Below are 18,144 nucleotides of genomic sequence, written 5' to 3' on the forward strand. Positions count from 1 at the left end.
AGACTGATAGTCCAGTCCCATCATTACCAGGTCTCACCCACTGCCAGAAGGATGGCTCGTCCTCAGTCCCATGAACTCAGCTGTGCTCATGAGTTACCAATGAGGAAGGGATGAAAGGAGAAAATAAAAATTAATCTTGGCCGGGCGCGGTGGCTCACGCCTGTAATCCCAGCACTTTGGGAGGCCGAGGCGGGTGGATCACGAGGTCAGGAGATCGAGACCATCCCGGCTAAAACGGTGAAACCCCGTCTCTACTAAAAATACAAAAAATTAGCCGGGCGTAGTGGCGGGCGCCTGTAGTCCCAGCTACTTGGGAGGCTGAGGCAGGAGAATGGCGTGAACCCGGGAGGCGGAGCTTGCAGTGAGCCGAGATCCCGCCACTGCACTCCAGCCTGGGCGACAGAGCGAGACTCCGTCTCAAAAAAAAAAAAAAAAAAAAAAAAATTAATCTTGTATCCACAAAACATAAAAACTCACATTAAGTATCCCATCATGATTATAAAATATCACCACTCATCACCTATAGGAGGATAAACTAAGGCTAGTTAAGGGTAAATGATATTGTGACTGTCAGGACTAGGGCATTTGTTTAGAATGACATAGAAGGTCTTAGCTAAATCCATGCAAAGTGTTCCCCGAAATGAACGTTCAGTCTCCTCCAGGAAGGTGATTCCCCGTCTCAGTAAAACATAGGTAGAAAAATCAGTCTTATCATGGGTTACAGAATACCCTTTCCTTTCTACCTCCCCCTTCTGCTTGTCCTAATTAAGTCCTCGAAAATTAATTGTATAAAAACAAAATGTAGTCTACCACTTATTAGATTATCCTATACCCAATAGACTATGCATGAAGATCTTTGGAATGATTTCCTTGATTGACCTACAATATTCTTTAAACTCTCAGATCAGGACTGTATATAAAGTAAATTATAAACTGTTTTATTGTTATTCCTCTACTACTTCATTGCTTTTTTTTTTTTTTTTTCACATGGAACAGTCCCCCTTGTTATTACAGGCTAAGAATCTCTTATCTGAAATGCTTGGGGCCAGAACGGATTCAGATTTTGCATTTTTTTTTTTTTTTTTTGGATTTTGGGATATTGGCATATACATAACAAGTTATCGTGGGGATAGAACCCAAGTCTAATCTTGAAATCTCTTTATGTTTAAATACACCTTATACGCATAGCCTGAAGGTGATTTATACAATATGTTTAATAATTTTATGCATGAAACAATGTTTTGACAGCATTTTGACTACAATCCATCAAATGAGATCAGGTGTAGAATTTTCCACCTGTGGTATCATCTTGGCACTCGAAAATGTTTTAGATTTTGGATCACTTTGGACTTTAGTTTTTTAGATTAGAGATGCTCATCCTGCATTTTCTTGTATAAAGATACTTCATTACCATGGCAAAGCATTCCTGTACCATCCATTAACAATCTCTGGTGTTTCGTTCATAATGTGTACCATTCCATATTTCCCATCCAGTGAAATGTATGCATAACAAGTATTGGCAGGAGACAAAACAAAATCCTTACTCCTAGCTATGGGTACAAAGTCAGGTGGCCAGGCATTGGGCTCCTAGCAGTCAAGAGTGAAGGAGACATTGGGGAAGGTGGGCAGGTCCTCAGGAAAACTGGAAATAAAATTATCCAGTGACAGGACAGTGGCCAAAAACATTTCTCAAATTGTCATGGGAATGGTTTACAGGAGAATGGGCGTTACTTAAACACAGGCCACTTATGACAGCAAACGTAACCATCTACACTAGATATATATGGCATTAATCAGAAATAAAGATGTTAGAAGGAGAAGAATCAGAAATAACACACCTGGATTCTGAGCCTTTGGAAAGATTTTGAAAGTTTAGGCAAAGAGCATCCAAGGCTTCAATGGCATGTACAGAGTATTGAGCAAGATGGAGCTAGGAGTCACATAAACGGGCTGTTATACACTGGCATATTGGGCAAAGCCTTCTGGTATATTCCAGCAAGACTTCATAACGAAAGACCTTACGCCTTAAAATAGTATTAATTGAAAAGAATGATAAGGCCTGCTGGGGGCTAAAAGGGCGTAGAAGAAGACAGATTTAGAAGAGAGGGTAAGAATGAATGCTTGAAATCATTGCATAAATTAATAAGTTTCTGTGTATGTTTACCCTGTTGAGTATCCACAGTTACAGGATAGGGAAGACAAGTGGTAGCAGATATTATGTGACAATGTTTTTGTTATACATAGACAACAAAAGCTCCATATGCTCAACAAAAGTCAGATTACAGAGCCATAATAATGTACATGTTTCTGAAACATTCCTGTATTTTGAGTTTCCCTCAAAGCCTAGCATTTATAAAGTTTATCGCTGGTCCTTTCAATGAATTTCACTGAACACAAGCCAGGCATGTATCAAAATAGGTATATAAAATCTCTATAAAGTAAATAAAACTCATCAGAGAAGCTGGAACAGAACATTTCCTAACTTTTTTTCAATCTGGGAGGATCTGATTCATAATTATCATCTACTGTCTTTCTTGACTAACAAGTGAGAGCCAAAAGGATACCCAACCCTTTTGTCTTGGTGAAATGAAAATCTATTATGTAATTATTTTACAAATAACACATATAACATGTATAAACAGACGTTATTATAATCATCATATTTCATTTTAATATTTGAGGCTTTAAAGGATACCATTAAACAACATTAATTTCATTTACAATAAATGAAGCATAAGACATGGAAAACTACTTGGCTGCATTTAAGATCTAGCGATTCAACTATAAGGAAAAATTACTTTCATCGAAGATGACAGTTTTCCTCTAGCTCTTCCTACTGATGCCTATGCAATACAGTCTCACTAAATGAGCATAAAATAAAAAGATGTCCATTTGATCTTTGGACAAAGATCAGATTTGATGACACAGATCTACATCCAGTGGTCTGATTATGGATCCTGCATAAATAGATGGAAATAGGTTCACTTTCAAACGTTTAGGCATCATTGGCAAGACTGACGCTTCTGCTTTCTACCAGTCATAATATGAAAACATTGGCAATGACCTTTACTAGAAATCTTCATGCAAATGCAACAAGAAACTCACCCAAAACATTAGCAGAACCTACCAGATCTATTCATTAGAAGAAAATATCAACCATAGGTATCATTCACAAGTAAGAGAAGAAAAGCATTAGTCATTTTACCTAGTATCACACCATGGGCTTTTGAGTTGGCAAAAATGGGAATGAATCCCAGCTTCATGACTCTACCCTGGGAAAGTGACATATTTCTGTGTCTCAGCTTTATCTGTTAAATGGGACCAAGAGCCCGTTACCTTGTAGGGTTCACAAGATGACTGATTGAAACAACATATGTAAAACACCTAGGACAGTGCCTGCATATAGCATGTCCGCTATAAATATCACTCCCTTTCATAGGCGACTGCTCTAAAAATATTATGTCATTTCATAGATGGGTCTCAATTATTTTGTGATTCATTGCCTCCCAAAGATCAATCTACTTGACACAAAGGAAAGATCTAGTCACCATGAGACAGAATGGATATTGAAGCATACAGACATTTGACTCAAATTAATCAAAAAGTTGCATTTTTCAGTAAGTCAGCTATTACCAAGTGCTTCTTATGAATAGTTATTTTAAGATGCAGCTTTCCAGAAATACTGCTTTCTTAAACAAAGTTTCATTCCAGAAAGGAAAAAGCCTTTGGCCAATTTAGAAGAAGCTTTGTACCATTCCTGGGAACTGCTCAGCATCTGGGGTTGCTGGATTTTAAGATGGAGTTCTCCTATCTAATAAAGCTGCTATGATCATTGAACACAGACACATGTAAGATGTGTTGGGGCCTTGGGGACGTAAAATGATAGCACGAGGAGGGACAGGAATCTAAATGCTTTGTCGCACACACCAGAGCATAAATAATTATCAAAGAATGCTTAGGGGAATTTAATTTAATTCTGCATGTAATGAAAGATGAAAAATTATCTTTTCCATTAACATCAATTGCATCAAAATCAGTATTTTTATAATTTTCTCAACCTATTTTTTTTCTTTCAACTGGCGAAGTATCAAAAGGCAATAAAGAGAAAAAAAGTACTTCCAGATGGTTGGTCTAAGCAAATTACATGCAATTTTCCTTTAAATAAAATGGAAAATATATGTAATAGAAGCCCTGCTGAACACCTATCAAATCAAAATGATTACTGTCTGCACCGTTGTAATTCACTCACTGGTTTATGGCCTCACTCTATTTCAAAGAGTTTCCCAAATTCATATAATGTTCTGCAGTGCTAGAGCTGGCATCAGATCTCTGATGTAGCTGAAAGATGCAGACTGTGAAATCTTCCATTGTTGGACAACTTTCTTATTTGGGACATAGTTGAGAAAGCTGAGCAGCCAAAAAATAAAATAAAATAAATTGTCCTTTCAAAGGCAGCTTTAAAGTCGCACTCACTCAGCTCAATAAACTCTGTGTTTCAGGGGTAACCACAAAAAGAGAAGACTTTCTACTTGTTGTTCCAAGTATACATTTTACACTAAACCCTATGCTATTTAGAGAGATATTGGTAAAAAATTATGGCAGTGGGTCATCAGATGAGGAATTCCCTCTCAAAACCCTTCTAGATAAACTGACTCTCAATTCCCCCAACCTTTACTCAAGAAATTGGATTTTATGTGCTCCATCCTTTTACCCTAAAACTCATTAGTACATAAATGAGGAGAAAAAGTTGAGAATTGGAGAGGTGGGAGGTCAGGGAAGATAGAGGGTCACTGGGGGAGTGGACTGTCCACTCTAACCCGTTTCTGATCACTGGTATCCACAGAATGAACCCCAAAGCCATCGCCCATCAAAGGGCAGGTCCCACACTTCCCAGCAATTAGATCCAGGTGGAGGTGAGCCTCTGGTGGGGTGGTGCGGAAGGGCAGAGCCAGGTAACCAGGGTAGTCAGGGCATGCCTACCTCGCCCCTACCCCAGAGCCTCTCACCTGCAAACTGGGTACAAGCAGTTGGTGTAAGGTCAGGAATGTTGTCAAAGGCAACATGAAAGTTATAGTGTATCAAGTTCAAGACCTGGACTTCACAGATTTATGGCTACATAAATACACACAATGTCTTTATGAATTTGCCCCTGCTTTTAATTTAGTAAGAGACCTTCAAAGCAGGAGTTCAAAACCAGGGGCAATTTTACTTCCCCTCCTCAGGAACATTTGGCAATACCTGGGGACAATTCTGGTTACCACAGTGAGGGGATACTACGGGTATCTGTCAATAGAGGCCAGTGATGCTGATAAATTTCCTATAATGTGCTACCCTCACTGACAAGAAGGGATTATCCGGTGCAAATTGTCAATAGTGCCAAGGTTGAAAAACTCTGCTTTACACTGAAAAAAAGAGAGATGGAATTTAGGTAGCATTATGTTCTGTAAGTAGAAAAGAAATTGGTAAGACCAGAATCTCTTACCACTGAAATGTTTCTCAGCTGCTAAAATAGGGAGCCTGGTACACTCATTGAACAGCTTTCTAATTTTCTTTTATATCCTACACAGATTTTCTCTTTATTCTGCCATGCAGAAAAATAAGAGAGGCCATTTATAGCAACCATTTGAATTCTCTCCTGTATTATTTTAAGATGCTGCTGCTTTTACATTTTGCCCATAAGAAGTTTTACTAGAATAAATAAAACCAGTTGTACACAATTCACAGACAATTGTTTTCCAAAGGATTTTTTTAGTATTATAAGCTGTAACCTCTAATTAAATATGTGATCCCACTGGATTTTATACATAGAATATAGTTACCATATTTACGTGTGCACATTATCCACTTTACTAACTTTTCTAAAATTTCTCACATAAATCTGAATTTTTAAGCCTTAAGTGGGATCCCAATTTGTACATTTTTCTTTCAACTATCCATATCTTTTGATAGTGAATAGACCAGTCCTCAGTTACTCCTTAGCACCTCCTATATTTGCAATGCAGGACCCAGTGATTACTTCTATTACTTCTGGTAGTTCTCAAAGTTACAAGGAACAAGAATGATCATGAAGGTTCAATTCACCTGATTCCATAATCACATTCTTTGCTCTTGAGACATTCGCCCCGTTACTTCTGTGCCTTGTCTTTATCACCACAAATCCTCCGATCAGCACATCCCTTGCCTATCAGCCTCTCTACTTAACAACTTCATTTTTACATTTATTACATCTTTCCTGCCAGAGTCAGTTTGGACTACTATAATAAATTACCATACACCAAGTGGCTTGAACAAGAGAAATGTATTTCCCTCTGTTTAGAAGGCTGGAAAGCTCAAGATCACAGTGCCAGCAGATGCCATGTCTGAGGGAGCTCCTTTCCTGGTTTGGAGGTGGTGTCACCTTTTGTATCCTCACATGGCAGAGCAGAGCACAGGAGCAAGTTCTCCAGTGTCTCTTCTTTTTTTTTTTTTTTCGAGATGGAGTCTCGCTCTGTCGCCCAGGCTGGATTGCAGTGGCGTGATCTCGGCTCACTGCAACCTCCGCCTCCCGGGTTCACGCCATTCTCCTGCCTCAGCCTCCCGAGTAGCTGGGACTACAGGTGCCCGCTACCATGCCCGGCTAATTTTTTGTATTTTTAGTAGAGATGGGGTTTCACCGTGTTAGCCAAGATGGTCTCGATCTCCTGACCTCGTGATCCACCCGCCTTGGCCTCCCAAAGTGCTGGGATTACAGGCATGAGCCACTGTGCCTGGCCCAGTGTCTCTTCTTATAAAAGCACTGATCCCATCATGAGTGCTCCACTCTTACAACCTAATCACCTCTCAAAGGTCCACCTTATAATACTATCAAACTGGGTGTTAGGATTTCAACATATGCATTTTGAGGGGACACAAACATTCAGTCCATAACACTTCCTATATGCAAAGCAGAGCAAAATAAAGGCAAATACTACATTTTCAAAGTTATTTGCCTCAGTAGCATCAGCATTTGGTTCCAGCTGTAATCCTCAGCCCCCTCCCATGATGGTAATCAAAGGCTTGCCATTTGCTGGAAATTCCTGCCCTGCAATAGGAGTGTTCTTCACCCTCTACATCTGACAACTGCCCTCCACAGTTCACAAATACTGACGGCGCACTAAACCATAAGCTCTTTAGGAACAGGAACTCTGACATATATGTATTTATACCCCGGAGAGTAATCAAATTGTACTACATATACTCCTGGTGCTGATGAGGACCAGTAATGAGACAGATAGAATGTATCCAGAGACATCTGTTGGTGCTAAGAAGGGCTCAGGCAGGTAATAGGCATCCTAACCATTTAGGACAAAGTAAAGGACAAATAAATCTCCAATTTTAGTCATTTATTTTCTTCCGCTAGCTTTCAGGTTGATGTGTTCTTTCCTAGTTCCTTTAGGTACAAAGTTAGATTGTTAATTTGAAACCTTTCTAAACCTTTCTAACTTCTTGATGAAAGTGTCTTGGGGCTACATGCTTTCCTCTTAACACTGCTTTGGCTGCATCCCAGAGATTTTGGTAAGTTGTGTCCTCGTATTCATTGATTTCAAGCATTTTTTTTTTATTTCTGCCTTAATTTCTGTGTTCACCTAGGAGTTATTCAGGAGTAAGTTGTTCAATTTCCATGTGTTTGTATAGTTTTGAGAGATCTTGGCATTAATTTCTATTTTTATTGCACTGTGGTGTGAGAGTGTCCTTGGTATGATTTCCAGGTTTTTGAATTTATTGAGGCTTGCTTTGTGACCAAGCATGTGGTCGATCTTAGAAGACAGTCTGTGTGCAGATGAGAAAAATGTATATTCTGCGGTTGTTGGGTGGAGTGTTCTGTAGATGTCTATAGAAAATGTTTTGGCCAGAGTGTGTGCCTCACTTAGAAAGGAAGGGGAAAGATAGAGGAAGGGCAGTGCAAAGTCATGTTCAATGGTCATGGTCAGTGAGGCAAAACTGCATCTCTGAGCTCAGGATGAAAGAGGATGAGGCAACGATGGTCGAGGATGCTGATTACATCTCCTAAGTACAGGTTTTAAACATGCACACATCTGGTCAACCTCTTCTGATTGTGTGCAAACCTAAGGAGTCACAGGTGGGCCCTGATAAGGTCATGAGATAAAATAGGGGGCTTTATGTTTCCTAGGGCATGCATGCACACACAAGTACATGGCAGATTTAACATTTTATAAATGACACCCAAATAACTCCTGTTTATCATCTGGGAGCATTCCATTTTTTTCTCAAGAATCATTGTATGACAAGATATGGCAAAGCTCAAATTAAATCAACACAACGAATAACCAACAAAAACAAGTGAAGTTTCAGAAGGGCAAATTAAGAACAACTTTTGTTTTTCTGTGGTGTCACACAGAGAAAAGTTATGTCTAGAGTAGATACTCTTTGATGTACATCCCAAAAGCTCTATTAGCACATCTGCAGCCAAACCACTGGTTTCAGGATGTGTACTGTTGGGCCCCTCGGTGGCCATATTGGTTCCAGATGGAGTTCAAATAACATAAGGGCCTTTGTTCCCGGGCTGAACTATTTCATTTCTCCACTGGTAACTTGCACACATGATGGAGCGCTCCATCATGAACGATGTGCAATGCCCAGGGGTGCTTCAAAAAATGTACCACAGAGACTGCTAAAACTCATGGAAGCCCCTGCTTTTAAGTGATAGCAGCAGCATTTGCCAACAGAGTGGTGCTAGTGGGCTGTATTACATTCCATCTTTGTTTATGCAACACCCCTGGAATAAAAAGTTAGGCATTTACCATTATAATTTACCTTAATTATAGTATTTGTCACTACCTGTAATGCACAAAAGAATTATGGTAGTTGCACTCATAGAAGAGGAAAATGAGACACAGGGAGCCTTTTTGACTTGCACAGGGTTACTCCTATGCTGGAGAGAAGGGGAAATATTAAATACCTTACATCAAATACCTAAGGGCAGACTTAAGGATTTCTAATCCACTGCTGCTGACTGCTGGTATTTTAAGACGGGAACTTTCAAAGAAGAATGAATGTTGTCAGAAACATGATTCCTAACATAAGGAAGCAATGACTGGGGGCTGGGAGATGGCCTATATCCCTTGTAAGAGTATTTTGAGCCCTTTAGACAATAGGAAGGCTCTCTGACAGTCTTACTTGTCACCAGGCCTCTGCTATGTCCAGAACAACAGGGTTAGAATTCATGGCCCCGCCAGGCATGGTGGCTCATGCCTGCGACCCCAACACTTTGGGAGGTGGAATCAGGTAGGTCACAAGGTCAGGAGTTCGAGACTAGCCTGGCCAATATGGTGAAACCCCGTCTCTACTAAAAATATATAAAAAATTAGCCAGGCATGGTGGCGTGCACCTGTAGTCCCAGCTACTTGGGAAGCTGAGGCAGGAGAATCGCTTGAACCCCGGAGGGGTAGGTTACAGTGAGTCGAGATCGCGCCACTGCACTCCAGCCTGGGTGACAGAGCGAGACTTTGTCTCAAAACAAACAAACAAAAAAGAATTCATGGCCACATTTCCAAAATCTTCATACTTTTGCAAGCTCACTGCCTATTTCAGGGCCATTTCTTTGAACTTATTTCTTCCCCTACCCACATAATCAGTGTGAACAGTCTAGTGTACTGCCTTCTGTATCTTCCTCCATGTTTCTGCAATAACATACAAATACAGGTATTCAGACATGGGGGATGGAGGTCATTTTACTTTATAATTTGAGATTTTCTCATAATATCATAAAATCTCTCCAAGTTAACCAGGTATGATTAAAATTAATCTTTAATCACATCTGAGACATTCTTACAACATAACTGACATATAATCTATACTTGATTGGTACACATTCAATATGTGAGATCAATTTTTGGGAGAGAGGAAAGGAAGCAGTAAAAAAGCTTCTATAAACATTCACTATACATGCCCTTATATATGTATGCTGGTATTTTTATTTTTACAATATATATGCCCTCATATATTATATACGGGTGTTTTTCTTTGTATAGTACATATTCCCAGGGGTTGTAATACTGGGTGAAATAGTTTGTATATTTTTAATTAGGATTATCAAACCACTTTTCCAAAATATGTAAGTAATTCATGTTTCCATCAGTCATGGGTGAAAGTCCCCTTTAATCAGCATCCTTACCTGTCATGGGTGTTATCTTTTTTCTCTCTCTCTTTTTGGCCAGTCAGAAGAATGATATCTCATTTGAATTATCCTAAGAGCAATGGATAGAACATTGTTTCATCTACTTACTGGACATGAGGATTTGCTCTTATGTGAACTACCTATTCATATATTTTTCAATTTTCTTATGGGCTGCTTGAATTTTTCTCATCAATTTGTAAGAGCTCTTTGTATATTAGAAATACCAACCTTATGCCTATTGCAGGAATTGCAAATATTATCTCTATCTAATGTTAGACTTTTTAGATGGTTTATGTCATCTTTTAGCACAGTTTAGTTTAACGATAACCAAATTACAGTCTATCCCTTAAGTTGCCAAAAAGAAGGAATCAGCAGAAAATTCTCGTTCTGCAATTACTAAGATAAAACATCCAGTGAAAGAGGAACTTGGAAAAGATCCAGTACAAATAAAACTGCATGTTCAAGAATGCTTTCTTAACCTTTGGCACAGATGCCACCTTGCCCCCTCCTTGGCTTATAAGAAGCTGTCATACACCATCATTAACACAGTTGGTCTCACCCTTCAATGCAGATGTTATAGGGTGCTGCTCCTGAATAATTCTTCAACCTGGGCAACGCATTTAAATTGGGAATTTTCAGCTATAATTGTTACTCTCTGCTGTCCATAGGATGAAGTCTTTGACCCGAACCTAAATACAGACCAGAATTCTGAGCCCAAAAACTATCTCCAGCATCCGGAGAAGAAGCATCATGAAAGGGGAGGAGAGAGCTGTTTATATATAAAATAAGTTGAATTTGCAAGAAAGAACCGACTGTCTTTTTCTTTAAAAATTGTAGGTAGTATCAAAGTTTTTCTCCTCTTTACAGATAAAAACAAAAAGGCTAACGGAATGCAGTCGACCGAGAACTAGTTTCTTACATTTCCATTGAGGGTATCTTTCTCTAGATCTGTCATTTTTCAGAATTTTCCAAGTAATAAAGTCACAGGCTTTTTTGTTAGGTGGCTGGAAAGAGAAATGTATTTGTCATTCTGTCTGATCTTCCAAAGCATTTTTCAGTGTTGTTTTTGTTGCTGTTATCTTGTTGAATTTTTTATCAGACTATTATTGGTATCACCAATAAAGAGGATGTTGAATTATGTTTCTCATTCCAAAAATAGTGCAAAAAAATTAATCTTAAAAAGTATAATGGAATCCACTTTTCTTTCACTGACTCCATCTGCAAGCCAGGATCAACTGTAAAATCATTTTATGAAGAAGCAATATTGCAGGGGATTTATTCTCTGGGTCTAACAGACTGCTTGCAAGCCAGCGTTAAAGACCTTGAACAGTTGATGCAAATTCCACCTTTGTATTTTACTGCCCTCAGTGAGCTCAACATCATTCATTAAAGGGTGTATTAGCTGATATCTTACCACCGCCATGCAGCAGAGAAGGAGAATCACATAATTTTAAAATTCAGGCTGAGGGCCACTGTGGACGCAGAAGGCTGACTTCCGACCACCTGCTTCCCCACTAGACTTGTTCCAAATGGCTTTCTTGAGAGGTGATTCACAAGTGCTAAAAAATCACGAATTTTTAAAGTGAGATATTTTGGATTACTTATAAACTACTTTCCGTAATGGCATTTTACCAATGAAATGATCCACTGGATGAAAATGACTTATCCTTAGTTATCTGTTTTATTCCTGAGCTCATCTATTTTGACAAGTTCTTGATCATTGTGCAGTACAAACTATGCGCAGCCTTTTCACAAAGGCTTCCCTATGGATTCTAGGAGCTCACAACCCACCGCTTCTCAACAGACAGTCATATATTCTACTTTACAGCAGAATACTTCTGCCTCAGGGAATCCTAATGGCCAGTGCCAAATCTTGTTTTCACTAACTGTGAGAAATGTGAGCCTTATGCTTTACATTAATAGGCCAAATGTATTTCTCTTTGATAGAAAATCAAACTTCTAAGCCACTGATAAAACTCTGGTGACATCCTGAGCTTCACAGGTTTGATCCTCTTACAAAAGGTGTGAACAATGCAAGTGAGGTTAACAAAAATCCTTGCAGGGAATCACACACTGAGTGGCTCTCTGGCCTGCATCACTAACTGCTGCATTTTATTAACAGCAGGTCAAAGAGCCTCTCGCCCAACACATCACAAATGTTCACAGAGATTCAATGAGTCAACAAGTATGCCTACTGCAGCTGGAACTGACACTGAAAATGTGAACTACATTGACAAAAATTCTCAGCAGGCCTCTCAAACACAAACTTTTCCCTAGCCCAAGGTCTCTGGGGAAAAATTATAACAATTAAAAGTGCAGTGTGGAGTGAGAACACAGTGCAGCAAATTTTTAATGTCAGAAAGTAGCAATTTGATAACTAAGAAAACTGGAAAAATCATTATAACCTATGCCTTACTTTGCCCAGCACCTCCCAAGACTCAACTGGAAAGAGCCTGGCTTTGAGAAGAATGAAAGCCTGAACTGCTGATTGTGAGAAAAAAAAAGGCAAAATAAGTGCTGAAAGGAACTCACATCAAATATTTCATTGTAAGAGTCTGATCTTATTTCCTATAGCCAGAATGGCATTTGACGATACAACAGTGGAGAATTTTGCTACTAAGATGTTGAATGAAATCCCTCAAGAGGAGAATTACCTTTGAGATTTTCTGTCACTTTTAAGATCACTTCTGAAGTATCAAAGCACTACTATAGCAAATGAAATATTATGAGGAGCTTTGCAACAGATGCCAATACCTTCCCAAACATGTCTGAGGCATCTCCTAGGTCAGAGGCCCTGGATTTCAAACATACTGCCAATATGTCAATGACCCCCAGATACACAGCTCTATTCCCAATCATTCCTCGATAGCCCACACTTGTGTATCTGTCTACTCTCTAGACCCGATGAGAAATGAAAGCCTTCAACTCAAAGTTAACATTGCCCTAGAAGAACTGTTGCGTTTCCCTCCAACCCCTATACCTCCCCAGGGCTTCTCTGTCTCAGTAAGTTGTCCACCATCCACTCACTTACTGAGGTCCAAAACTTCCAATTCATTCTTAATTTATCTTCCCCTCTCTCCAATGCCCAATCCATCAGAGCACCACAGACTCTACCTCTAAATATGTCAAGCCCATCCACTTTTCTCCTTCTACACTAACAACCCTGTAGTCTGTGCCACCATCACGCCTGACCCCATCATCTGTGAGAGCTTCAAGCTGGTCTTCCTGCTTCCCCTCTAGCTACCCTGGAATCCATTCTCTGACCCAGTGGTGACCTTGATAATATAACCGACAATTTGGAAACGTAAATAACTCATATCCCACCACTGCTTCTCCAAAGGGTTCCCAATGCCCCTAATAGACATAGAAGTTTCATGTCCCGGCTTACAAAGCCCTACATATGCTAACCCTTACCCACCTCTGTGGTCTCAATTCACACCACTGTCCCTTTCCCCACTACACACAAACCAATCCAAAGTTGTCCCCTGTTCACTCTCTGTCACATGAACCCATCTGAATTCTTTGCATAGCACTTAACCACTGGACAATACTTTTTTTATTTATTGTGAACGCAATTATTGCTTATGGTCTAACTCTTCCACCAAAAATGTATGCTCAGAGAGCCAGGAGCCTATCTGTCTTGCTTACGTGCATATCGCCAGTGCCTAAAACCGAGGCTCACACACTACATGTGTTCACACACACACACACAAATACCTGGGGAGGAGGGAGAATGCAAGTTATTTCTCATGGTCACTTTGACTGCAATTTTCAAGAAAAGCAGTCAGTGTGTGACAGCAACAGTAGAAGCACGATTTCCAATCAGACATTAATTGAGACGACCACTAGCCCTTGGTGACCCCATGTACAGGAAGAGATGTTTCAGGGACACCATTTGTTTATACAGATGTCTGTCCTTAAGGGATTTTTGTTTGAAATCAACCACCAATCATGTATTTTCTGCAAGGAAATTACACAGTAAGGGTGGGTTCCAACCCTCAAAATATTTGCTAGCTCAGTGAAATAAAACCAAGATTCCATTTGGAGAAACCTATAGCTGCTTTACTTTGCAATAAATTGTAAAATAGGTGGGTTTTATTGTTTTATAATTCTTTTCTGTAATAGTCTACCAAGAGGAATCCCTTGGGGACCTTTAGAAAATAAAAGGGGTAAAACACATGCTGCATTAAGAAGTTATATATTATCCACTGGGCTCAGCCATGCAGGAGGCCTCAGCATGACCTTGGCAAGTTTCTTAACCTCACCACACTGTTCACTCACCTTTAAATGGGGATAATATTAGAACCTGCATGCTTGTTGAGAAGATGAAATGGCATGCATAAAGCAGTATCTGGGACACAGGAAGTGCTCAGATAATGTAAGCATTATGAATTATCACCAAGTTATTAGCAGTGCTTCAAAAAATATTTCAGATTTGGAAATGTTGGAAAATCCACATTATTAAATTTGTATTGTGGCCGGGCGCAGTGGCTCACACCTGTAATCCCAGCACTTTGGGAGGCCGAGGCGGGCAGATCATGAGGTCAGGAGATCAAGACCACGGTGAAACCCCGTCTCTACTAAAAATACAAAAAATTAGCCTGGCGCGGTGGCAGGCGCCTGTAGTCCCAGCTACCCGGCAGGCTGAGGCAGGAGAATGGCGTGATCCTGGGAGGCGGAGCTTGCAGTGAGCCGAGATCACGCCACTGCACTCCAGCCCTGGCAACAGAGCGAGACTCCATCTCAAAAAAATAAATAAAATAAAATAAAATAAAATAAAATAAAATAAAATAAAATAAATGTGTATTGTCATTGCTACATTACAAGGAACTGTTTAATGACTTGCTCTGAGCATGTTCAAGTGCTCCTTTGGCTGCAAACACAGATGACTACCGCAGGCCCGTGGAGGTGACCCAGGATTAGCTACACTCTATTCTTTCTACACTTGGGGAACTGGCATGTGCTTAAGAAAAGACAAGAAAAGCTACTTCAAATCAATAAAGTCTTCACAAATCATGCACACGTGATTAGAAATGTTCGTTCTGGGTGTATCTGATCATTTAGTAATTGCTCAAGAAAACAAGAATAACTTTGTACATTATCTGCCATAAAGACAAAAAATGAGCAAGAAAATGAGAGTCAAAGTTAGAAAACAAACAAAACACTTAATATTATAATCAGAGAACTGAGTCACACTGTCATAATTCACTTTTTTATTGTTGCTAATATTATGATGTCCCAGAAGACACTTCTAAGACATTTACATAGACCTTAACACCTGGTTTATAAAATAATATTAAAAGAATATAGTCCAGTACATAAAAGAGAAAGTTATTTTAAAAAATGAAATTGGCCAGGTGCAGTGGCTCATGCCTGTAATCCCAGCACTTTGGGAGGCTGAGGCGGGTGTATCATGAGGTCAGGAATTCAAGATCTGCCTGGCTAACATGGTGAAAACCCAGCTCTACTAAAAATGTAAACATTAGCCAGGCATGGTGGCAGGCGCCTGTAATCTCAGCTACTCAGAAGGGTGAGGCAGGAGAATCTCTTGAACCTAGAAGGCAGAGGTTGCAGTGAGCCGAGATCCCGCCACTGCTCTCCAGCCTGGGTAACAGAGAAGACTCTGTCTCGGGGGGGAAAAAGATGAAATCAACTCCTAGAAAATACTGCAGCAGAATGATAAAGTAAACATACAACTACATATCAAGTTGAGTCGAGAAGAAAGGAATTTCAGGAAAATACACAAAAATGATAGTGGCTTGGGAGAAAAGAATAGACCTGCCTATCAAAGCATGTGTTGGTTCTCTGATGAGGTTTCAGCCTGAGAACTAACATGGGAAATGTGCTGTCCTTCTCCTGCTTTACTAACCTTCTGCCTTCTTGGTTGGTGCATCCCTGTGCCGGGCTGATGAATACATCACAACTGCTGCTCACAGCTGGGAACACAACCAGTAATAAGGCACAGTTATAGCTTCAGGGATGTAAGGAAGGTGAGTGACTGTCCATACTGTGCGTGTGTGTATCCACAGTCACACATGTGTATGTAGCACCAAGTTAGTGAAAAGGTTTTATTTAAAAGGTGCTACCTAGGTTGTGATTTTCCTCTAGTAGGTGGATCCTTGAGCAGCCTACCCCTAATTTGCCACAAATTCATAATTAAGTTACATAGCTGGGTGTTAGTATACTGTTTTACATATAGATTTCAGAGATTTTAACCCTGCCTTAGTGCACCTAATGCAGTAGGGTTTCATCCAATTATAAGGCTTTCTCTATCTGTTTCTATATCTATTTATCTATCTCTATATAATTTACATACATGCATTTATATAGGTGGATATTCTATCTTTCTGTTTATTCAACTCTATCTACATATATTACATATATGTGTGTAAATATATATATGTGTGTGTATATATATATATATATATATATATATATTCAACTCTATCTATCTATCTATCTATCTATCTATCTATCTATCTATCTATCCATCCATCCATCCATCCAATTGACCCAGAATTGTGGTCACAGCAAGGCAGATACTCTTAAACATTAGTGCTGTCCTCTGGACATGTACATCCAGATAACTATGTTACAGGAAATACAATTTCAGTCTTCTGAGCTTGGCTCACCCCACAACCTGACAGTCATGCTGTGCTGCGCTATTTTTATGTTTAATATGTACTCCTTGAAGATGATACTATGAAATTCCACTGTAACACTGATAGTGTTCAAATGCTCACTTTAAGAAAGGTTAGATGCCAGGAAGGAAGTGATACCGAATCCTACAGTGCAGGAAAGCAGCTACATTGGTTTCGGTCTTGGTGCTATTTGAATACCTCACCTTCCTTTTCTGTTCTCTTCTACATCTCATAGATAACCATTAATAAGAAACGGACTTTAGAAGGATCTCACAGTCTTTCCTGTCTTTGGTACACTGTAAGTGATGTTCAATTACACTGGAAAACAGTGAAGACTATTTGAGAAAGCAGTAAAATGAATGGCCCCAGCTGGACAATATGGGGACAGTCTATAATGGCTACAGCAAATATAATTATTTAATTATTGTAAAATTATGCAATAAACTTCTTAAACTAAATATAGCACAATCAGAAGGCTAGAGCAGTACATTTAATCACACTCTTAAGGACCATTAGAGAAGTTATATTTTACAAAATTTCCATCTGAATCACTTCATTAAATAACATATACGTATTCAGTGCTTATTATGTGCCAGAGTGTTAAGTATTGGGAAGACGGATGCAATAATCAAGCCAAGGACTTCACAGTGTGAAAAGGAAGGACTATATGTATTTACAAAATACTACAATGAATCCTACTTTAAATTGCCATTGCAGGGATGTGCACAGGAGTGTGGGGACACAGAGGGGGTGTGACTTAATTCATCCGGCCATGGAGAAGGAAGAGAAAGGTTCATGGAAAATGAGACAGATTAGCTGAGAACTGGTGAACAAGCAAATATCTACCCACTGAACAATGTGGGGGAAATTATACCAAATGCATGAATCTCTGATTGGGGTGGGGGAGGAAGAATCCCATTCCTCTTCTCTTAGCCAAGCCCATAGCCTTCCAGCTCTGTGTCCAAATTAGAAATAGGGTATTACTCATGCGATTCAGAAAGTCCCAGAAAAATCCATCCATCAACCCATCTACACAACAAATAATTATTGGCATCTTATTACATCTTAGTCCCTTACCTCACCTAGGAATGGAGCAGTGAGTGAACAAAATAAGCAAAATCCCTGGCAGGGTAGAGCTTACATGAGAAGGCAGGGGCAGAAGTTATGTAAAATTGATAAACAAAATATCTCATGTATCAGACAGTGCTAAGTTCTTTACAAGAAAAGCAATAAAGCAGAAAAGGAAAATAGAGAATAGCAGGGAGACTTTCCATTTTAGTCATTTGATCAGGAATATCTCCTGACAAGGTAAGAGTTGAATAAACTTGAAGTAGGCCAAGGAGCAAT

General features: G+C 39.5%; 1 protein-coding gene across 8 annotated transcripts in view; it reads right to left on the reverse strand.

Moving 5' to 3' along the window:
* The window catches only part of SEMA5A (semaphorin 5A), a 511,043-nt gene that overhangs the window by 376,491 nt on the left and 116,408 nt on the right, over positions 1-18,144 (reverse strand). For 2 of the 8 annotated variants that reach the window (XM_011514156.3, XM_047417866.1), the window contains exons 3-4: positions 11,571-11,715; positions 10,154-10,226 (exon numbers count right to left, since the gene is read on the reverse strand). The exons of 3 other annotated variants lie outside the window; for them this stretch is intronic. The gene's annotated coding sequence lies outside the window, so the exon portion shown is untranslated. The remainder of the gene's footprint in view (positions 1-10,153; positions 10,227-11,570; positions 11,716-18,144) is intronic. 3 more of the 8 variants (XM_006714506.4, XM_047417865.1, XM_011514157.3) reach the window with 2 other exon arrangements.

Source organism: Homo sapiens, chromosome 5 (assembly GCF_000001405.40).
Source record: "Homo sapiens chromosome 5, GRCh38.p14 Primary Assembly".
In the NCBI taxonomy this organism is placed as follows: Eukaryota; Metazoa; Chordata; class Mammalia; order Primates; family Hominidae; genus Homo; species Homo sapiens.